The sequence below is a fragment of the Homo sapiens genome, chromosome 11, assembly GCF_000001405.40.
Source record: "Homo sapiens chromosome 11, GRCh38.p14 Primary Assembly".
Lineage (NCBI taxonomy): Eukaryota > Metazoa > Chordata > Mammalia > Primates > Hominidae > Homo > Homo sapiens.
In genome coordinates this window covers 126,068,751-126,077,830 of record NC_000011.10, presented here as the reverse complement: position 1 = coordinate 126,077,830, position 9,080 = coordinate 126,068,751, and the positions used below count along the sequence as shown (strand labels likewise).

Genomic DNA, 9,080 nt, shown 5'->3' with positions numbered 1-9,080 from the left:
CTGTTCAGTACCTTCTGAGCATCTTGTAGGGAAGCCTGAGGGTAGAAGTCTGCACAGATGCAGGCCCTAGAGAAAAGCACAGGCTGAATTTCTAAACTGTGGCTGCTAATGCTGATAGAGAAGACGGGAATGGCTGCCTTCTGTTTGACTTCCTGCTGCAGACAGGTAGTAGGGTTCCAGGACACATCCAGGTGGGTCGAACATCCCAAAGAAGTCCTGAAATGTTTTCTGTGTTAGAGGATGACAAAGCTGGATTCTGTGTCTGGAGGGGGCCCTAAAGGTTCCATACCTTGTGGTCAGGAGCCAAGACACTGACAAGTGAGAGGGAAGAGTTGAATAAGGACCAGTCTTCTCTAAGCCATCCTCATGCATGGAGGCAGGGGATGGGCCTCATGAGCTCTAGAGGGTACACACAGTCCCCAAAGTCATGGAGCCTGACGGTTGGTAAAAAAAAAAAAAAGAAAATTGGCCGAGTGTGGTGGCTCATGCTTGTAATCCCAGCACTTTGGGAGGCTGAGGCGGGTGGATTGCCTGAGCTCAGGAGTTCGAGACCAGCCTGGGCAACATGGTGAAATCCTGTCTCTACTAAAACACAAAAAATTAGCCGGACGTGGCAGCATGCGCCTGTAATCCCAGCTACTCGGGAGGCTGAGGCAGGAGAACGACTTGAACCCGGGAGGCAGAGATTACAGTGAGCAGAGATCGCGCCATTGCACTCCAACCTGGGCGACAGTGCGAGACTCCATCTCAAAAAAAAAAAAAGAAAAAAAAAAGAAAATTATCTCACTCTGGAAAAGATTCCAAAGTCCCAACATTTCATGTTGGTTCAGTTTCTTTCTTAGTTCTCAACACCCCCACTCCATTCCTCCCTCTAGGGTAAGGCCCCATTGCCTCCTCCCTCTGGCATTTGTGAGCACAGCATCTCCTCAGGCACAGTCCTTTAATCAAGGTGGAAGCCCTTTGTGAAGGGGCAGTGGAGAAGCTGGGCTGCTAATTGGCTCAGTGATGAGCTTTTGACGAATCCATTAAATGAATGGAACAGAGGGGTGGGAAAAGAGGTGTTCCTCAGTGCAGGTGGGGGTCTGAGAAGGACAGGAGGAGACATGTGAGCAGGCCCTTCTGCAGGTCTTCCCATGCCCCCTCCCACTCTGGGACCATTCACACAGGTCATAAGTTGCTCATCTCAGCCCCTAGAGCCCTTGCTGGTCACCAGGGAAATTACTGACTTTGGGACAAGCTGTGAAAAGTGGCTGGACCTTAAGTGTTAGTAGCACAGAGAGTCAAGTGCCTGCTGTGAGCTGAAAGATGAAAAGTCAAGATCCCCCAAATACAGGGACCTACTAGAGTATCTGAAAATCTGCTGCTGCATAGGGATCTCTTAGATCCACAGAGAACTAATTCTAAAGCTTTTCTCCATTTTTCATACCTTAGATTGAATTCCTTCACTCAAGTCTTTTCAGTCTGAAAGCATGCAGAGAAGCCTATGGCCAGTTTACAGTTATGACCAGGAGAAACCGAGAGAAAATTGCTGTCTTTTTCTCCATTCCACTCCACTCATTGAAGAAGGCAGTCCTTTTTGCAAGGAGGCAAGGAATGGTTGGTAACAACTTTTTTGTTTTGTTTCATTTTGAGAGACGGAGTTTCACTCTTGTTGCCCAGGCTGGAGTGCAGTGGTGCAATCTCGGCACACTGCAACCTCCGCCTCCCGGGTTCAAACGATTCTCCTGCCTCAGCCTCCCAAGTAGCTGAGATTACAGGCGTACGCCACCACGCACCACGCCCAGCTAATTTTTTTTTTTTTTTTTTTGCATTTAGTAGAGATGGGGGTTTCACCATGTTGGTCAGACTGGTCTTGAAATCCTGACTTCAGGTGATCCACCCGCCTTGGGCTCCCAAAGTGCAGGGATTACAGGCGTGAGCCACCGCACCTGGCGGGTGGGTAACAACTTTGTAACAGCACGTCCACGAGGAATAGATTGAAGGGGAAGGGAAATGGCCCCAAGTTTAAGTTTTGTCCATCCCTCTCACCTTCCCTGTGAACTTCCCTTATTCAGGTATCTCATTCCTCTGTGTGTGTACTCTCCCTACTTGGTTTCCCACCTTTTCTGACATAAATGTGAATGCAACGTCTATATCCAAACAACTGTGAGATGTCTGAGTCCATTAGAGCTGCTACAACAAGATACCTTACACTGGGTAATTTCTAAAAAGTGGGAATTCATTGCTCACGGTTCTGGAGGCTGGGAAGTCTACAATCAAAGCACCAGCAGATTTGGTGTTAGGTGAGGGCTCATGATCTGCTTCGAAGATGGTACCTCCTTCTGTGTCTTCACATGGCAGAAGGGCAAAGAAAGCTCACTTGAGCCTCTACTCCTATTCATGAGGGTGGAGCCTTCATGACTTAATCACGTCCCAAAGGCCCCTACGTCTTAACACTATCACACTGAATAGTAGGTTCTGACATATGAATTTGGGGGGAACACCAACATTCAGACCATTGCAGAAGAGCAGCCCAAGGCAGGAGCGACTAGCTTCTTTAGTCTCCTACCTCTGCCCCAAGATGCCAGAGTTCCAGACACTCTTCTCATGGTGTCCTCTTCCTGCTCATGCCCTGGTCCAGCCTCTCTCTGGCCCCCAGGGAAAGGTACAGCTGACATGGAGGCGCAGAGTCAGTAACGCGGTTTCCATTTTTTCCAGGAAATTTGGTTCCCAGAACCCCCAGAATGGGACAGACAGTAACTGGGGAACAGGCAGGTAGTAAATAAGCTGGTCAAAGATCTGGCCAAGGGGAGAGAGAAGATGAGGCACAGAAGAGGGAAAGTGGGAAGCATGAGGCTAGCATGAGGACATGATTTCGGGGAAGACACAGGAGCCTGACTCCAGAGGGCTCAGTGCAGAGCCATTGTCTTTGTTTTTATTTTTTATTTTTCTTGAGATGGAGTCTCACTCTGTTGCCCAGCCTGGAGTGCAGTGGCACGATCTCGGCTCACTGTAACCTCCGCTTCCTGGGTTCAAGTGATTCTCCTGCCTCAGCCTCCTGAGTAGCTGGGATTACAGGTGCGCGCCACCACACCCGGCTAATTTTGTATTTTTAGTAGAGACGGGGTTTTGCCATGTTGGCCAGGCTGGTCTCGAACTCCTGGCCTCAAGTAATCTGCCCACCTTGGCCTCTCAAAGTGCTAGGATTATAGGTATGAGCTACGATGCCAGACCCAGAACCAATGTCTTTTAAGGGCTATCAGCATCGATGCTATTTATAAGTACTTAATTTTTTTTTCTTTTCTTTTTTTTAAATAGATAAATAGAGATGGGGTTCTTGCTACATTGCCCAGGCTGGTCTCAAACTCTTGGACTCAAGTAATCAGCCTGCTTGAGCCTCCCAAAGTGCTAGGATTACAGGCGCAAGCCAAAGCGAGGGGCCAGTACTTTTAACTGACCAAGAGAAGAGGAAACACTTGGTTAGATAATGTAAAAGCAAAACTAGTAATAGAGATTCAAGAGATGTTCCTGTTCTTTGAATATATGTATGTATGTGTTTATTTTGTTGATAAGCACTCATATAATGCTGAGCATGGGCCAAGCTTATCTTAATCCTTATAAATCTTCTAAAGCTATGTCATTTATGAATAAGTATCAATATGTAGAACAAATATTCTCCATATTACTAATATGTAATAGATGATACTACAAATCAGTAATTCATGTGTGTTCAAACTTTCACTGCTAATGCATGATAGTTGCTAACAACTGAAAAAATAAGAGAAAATTTTGACCTATAGGAGTAGAATTCACAATGATTTTTACCACAATGATGATGATGGTGATGAGAAAAATAATAATAGTGGATTTTTATTGTTGATTATGTACTTGTTATATGTATAATAAATAATAAAAATTAGTTATTGTTGGTTATGTCTGGGCCAAGTACTTTATATGCATTATTTCACCTAATCCTCAGAACAGATATAGAAAATAGGTACTATTAAGGTCTTTTTTTTTTTTTTCTTTTTTTTGAGACAGGGTCTCACTCCATTGCCTAGGCTGAAATGCAGTGGTGCAATCATGGCTCACTGTAACCTTAAACTCCTGGGCTTAAGTGATCCTTTTGCCTTAGCCTCCTGAGTAGCTGGGACTACAGGTGCACACCACCATGCCTGGCTAATTTTTAAATTCTTTGTAAAGATAAGGTTTCACTACGTTGCCCAGGCAGGTCTCAAACTACTGGCCTCAAGCAATCCTCCTGCCTCAGCTCCCCCAAAGAGTTGGGATTATAGGCTTGAGCCACTGCTAGACCTATTACTATTTCTTAGATGAGAAAACTGATGCACAAAGCACGTTAAGTGATCTATCCAAGATGCAAGTTAGTTGTCATAGCATTCCTTGCTTCTGATACAGGAAACGTTCACAACTGATAAGGAACTGCAGGTGTGGAAACCAAGCTGATGAATAATAATGATGCCCATTATGAGTCAAGCACAGTACCAGGTGCATTTTATACACCTTAAATCCTCAAAACAACCTGGCAACCTATGGTGTATTTACACCCGTTTTACTGATGAGGAAATTTGCCTAACTTCCTACAGCTTTTATGGACAACTGGACCAAACAGAAGACCTCTCCTACCTCCAGGGACTAGTCATTTTATCCAAATCTTGTTGGTCCAACCTGCGCTAGAGCTGTTAAAGTGGTCAGAACTTACTCTAACAATGCCAGCCCCTTAGAGACTTTGACAGACTGTAGTTCATTTTTCCTTTGGAGAGGAAAAAGAGAAATTCTACCACGGAGACTTAGTGATTGGCCCAAGTCCACACCGCAGACAGGAGGATAATGAGGGAGCTGGGATAAATTATACTGGACAGGTTCCCCAATTCTCAGCTTGGTTTTTTTTCTATGAGACCATCCAGCCTCGAATAACTCATTCATTAGCTCCCTATCCTTTGCAAATATCTCCAACTCCTTGCCATTCTCTTTCAGGCCCTTTGCTTTCTTTCACATCGCAGACAGGGGCTCCTTTGCCACACGTAGCCTAATGACAGGGAAGGTGGCATTGTGTCTGCTTAGCGCCGGGCTCCCGTACAGGCCTTTCTCTTTCCTGTAAAAGGATCTCCACATTCTTTGCTAGTGCAAAGAAGATGTGGAAAGTCATTTTCTCCTGACCTGGTATATGGGTAAATCAATCTAGCATCACAAACCCAGTAACAGAGTTAGGTGATCTGTGTGTAATGGTTTAGGCAGTGAGTCTCCGGAGCTTAGCGCCAGTTCAGCATAAAAAAGGCCATAGAAATCCCTCTCTCCGTGAAATCCTCTTGCACACAATTCAGGAAATGTACAAGACAGTGAGAATACAGTCAACCTATTGGAATTTCTTTTTCAAAGAAAAAATAGATTGCAAAGGAAAATTGTTGATTGCCAACCTTCCAGCCTTGTCAGGAGAGTTATCCTGCAGTCAGTCATTAGATGTAAAATTCCTAAGCCTTGGGGGATGGTCAGGTCATTTGATACCATGTCAATATCAAGTTACATCATAAATAATTGGAACTTCCTGAATATTTAACAAGAACTTTGTTGTGTAAATTTGGAAATCAGCCAAATTGAGACAACTGACTTACGTTATTATTTAGCCCTCTGGGTCTAACTCATTGTGGGGGTTTAGTTGTTTCGAACTTTGGTCCTTTTAGCAGAGAGTAGAAAGGCGTTAAACCAATTGACTTTTAGATAGTCAGTTTCCCTTCCTTTTTTTGGTTTTAAATTGATTAATGCTTTTTTCTCTGTAAATAAGACCAAATAAAAATCCAAAGTCATAACCAAGAGAGAAATATATGAAATTGCTGTTTAGTTTGCAAGCCTTTAGCAGACTAAGTCAGCCTGGTGATGATCAACTTTGACCACTCTTGCAGTTGCTAAATGGGCACTTTCTGACATTTGCTACCTCTGTCAGATCATTTCTAGTCCAAGAATATTCTAGAGGCTCCTAATGTTCATTTGAGTTGGTATCAAATTCTAGACAATAAGATTTGAGTTTCTTCTGGATGGGAATCTATAATTAAGGTTTCATAAACCATAAGATAACAGTATAAGTGTAAAGATTAATTATGGTTATTATCACCTAAAGAATAAAATCCCAAGTTCTTATTTTACCATTCAAACCCTCTCCTATGCAGCCTCATCCTATCTTACTAATACTGTCTCCCATTGCTTCTCCCAATCCCTCCTTGGCAATAGTCCCCACTTCTCTACTTCTCTCTCAGTCTTTCCCAGCCTCTAGACTTAGGCTAAGCTTTCCTTCCTCGTTGAAGCCTTCCTTCCTCTGCTTCAGTTGGAAGTTATTTCTGAAGCTACCATTTACTGAGACCCTACTCTGTGTCAGGTACTGTGCAGAGTACTTGCAGATAATGTGATGCATTATCTCATTTAACTCTTGAAGGGCAGGTATTAATTTCCCATTAAATTTTTTGTTTGTTTTGGATAAGTAGCCTATTTGCATGGTTCAAAAATCAAGACAGTATAAAAAGTTACACTTTTTTTTTTTAAGATGGGGTTTCACTGTGTCACCCAGATTGGAGTGCAGTGGCACCATCTCGGCTCACTGCTACCTTGACCATGTCAGTCTCCCAAGTAGCTGGGGATATAGGTACACACCACCATGACTGGCTAATTGTGTATTTTTTGTAGAGATGGGATTTTGCCATGTTTCCCAGGCTGGTCTCAAACTCCTGGGCTCAAGAGATCCACCCTCTTCGGCCTCCCAAAGTGTTAGGATTACAGGCATGCGCTGCTGTGGCCAGCCAAAAGATATAAATTTAAAAGTATCTTATCCACCTTCCACTATAAGTAATCATTTTTAAAGATATTCTTTGAATAGCCAGGTGTGGTAGCGTGTGCCTGTAGTCCCAGCTACTCAGGAGGCTGAGATGGGAGGATCACTTGAACCCAGGAGGTCGAGGCTGCAATGAGCCATGATCATGCCACTGCATTCCAGCCTGGGCAACAGAATGAGACCCTGTCTTCAAAAAAATAAATAAATAAATAAAAGGAAAGAGGTCTTCTTTGGTTCCTTCTAGTGGTTCTTTATGCAAAAAAATCAGTAAATACAAATATATAATCTTATTTTCTACCTCTTAGAAATTAGAGCATAATACTGCCCATAAGATGTCCTGCACCTGCCTCTCTCTTTCTTTCTCTTTTCTTTTCCATTTAACACATATTCTAGAGTACCCTCCACAGCAGTTCTCTGAGAGCTTCCCTTTTCTTTTTTCAGTGGCACAGTATTCCATTGTGTGGATGTAGTTCTTGATGGTGGACGCTTGGATTGTTTCTAATCTGCTATAAACAACAATGCAGTGAATAGATTTTTCATATGAATGCAAGAGTATCCGTAGGACAAATTTCCAGACTGGGACTGCAGGATCAAAGGGTAAAAGCATGCTATATTTTGATAAATATGGTCAAATTTTCTTCCCTGGGGTCATACCATTTTTCATTCCCATCAGCAACGTATGAAAGTGCAACGCACGTATCACTATCTATAGTTTATATATGAGAAAACCGAGGCACAGAAAATAAAAAATTAAGTGGTTAATAACATTCAGGCTGGACCTCAAACTTGTGCCTGGCTGTATTCCTCTCATCTGGTGTTTATCAACTAGTGATTTGCACTGTTACTTGTTTTATATATACATAGGCCTAAACTTTCTAAAGCTTTAGTATAAACTCTTTAGGTTTATAACAAAGATTTTCTAATAAACAGAGTCTGGTCAATCACAGGTGAGAATGAGGGAAAAGGGAAATCGGATAGAAACAGCTGGGAAACAAACGCAGGCGATCTGTTGTTATGAGGCCCTTGCGTTTGATATATCACACAAGACCCAGCTGAGCCCTCAGTAGGTGCTTCTGCTTGGCCACGAGGGATGGTTCCAGACAAGTAGTGTGGACAAGCCATGCTTGGAGCAGTCCATGGATAGAGGATGGGAGGAGTTTATCTGTTGCCCTGCTCCCATGCCCTCCTCACATAGGGGAGATAACACACTGCACTTTCTTTCTTTCTTTTTTTTTTTTAAATAGAGATGGGGTTTCTCAATATTGCCCAGGCTGGTCTTGAACTCCTGGGCTCAAGCAATCCACCTACCTTGGCCTTCCACAGCATTGGGATTACAGGCGTGAGCCAAGACGCCTGGCCTCACACTATATGTTTGAGTTGTGTTGCTTAGCCCTCTCAGCAGATCCTGGGGAAGCCAGATTTCAAGCTCTGCAGTGCCTAGAAATGGTGCAAGGGACACAGAGTGAGTCACTGCAGGGTGTTGGAGACAGGTGAGGCTAAGAGAGTCTGATGAGGCCACATAAGATGTCTTTCTTTTTCTTTTTTGAGATAGGGTCTCACTCTGTCATCCAGACTGGAGTATAGAGGCGCGATCTTGGCTCACTGTAACCTCCGTGTCCTGGGCTCAAGCGATCCTCCTACCTCAGCTTCCTGACTAGCTGGTACTACAGGTGCATGCCATTACAACCGGCTAATCTTTTATAATTTTTGTAGAGACAGAGTTTCACCATGTTGTACTGGCTGGTTTTGAACTCCTGGGCTCAAGCAATCCATCTGCCTTGGCCTCTCAAAGTGCCGGGATTACAGTTGTGAGCTACCACACCCAGCCAAGATGTTTTTAATACAGGTATTTCCTTGTATGTCTTTAATTTTGTGCTTTATACTTAAAAGGTGCTCAACAAAGTTTTTTCTTTTTTTCAGTTTATTTATTGAAACTTTACACATACACTGTTTGGCTGTAGAATTCTAAAATCATATTTTCCAAAATGTTTTTTTTTTTTTTTTTTGAGACGGAGTCTCGCTCTGTCGCCCAGGCCGCACCGCGGACTGCAGTGGCGCAATCTCGGCTCACTGCAAGCTCCGCTTCCCGGGTTCACGCCATTCTCCTGCCTCAGCCTCCCGAGTAGCTGGGACTACAGGCGCCCGCCACCGCGCCCGGCTAATTTTTTGTATTTTTAGTAGAGACGGGGTTTCACCTTGTTAGCCAGGATGGTCTCGATCTCCTGACCTCATGATCCACCCGCCTCGGCCTCCCAAAGTGCTG

General features: G+C 43.9%; 1 annotated feature.

The window, feature by feature from the left end:
* Positions 686 to 1,187: an enhancer, noted in NCBI's record as "NANOG hESC enhancer chr11:125946539-125947040 (GRCh37/hg19 assembly coordinates)". NCBI's record gives its function as "activates a minimal SCP1, AML or CMV promoter by ChIP-STARR-seq in primed H9 embryonic stem cells {active_cell/tissue: H9 hESC(primed)}" and the evidence as "EXISTENCE:reporter gene assay evidence [ECO:0000049][PMID:30033119]".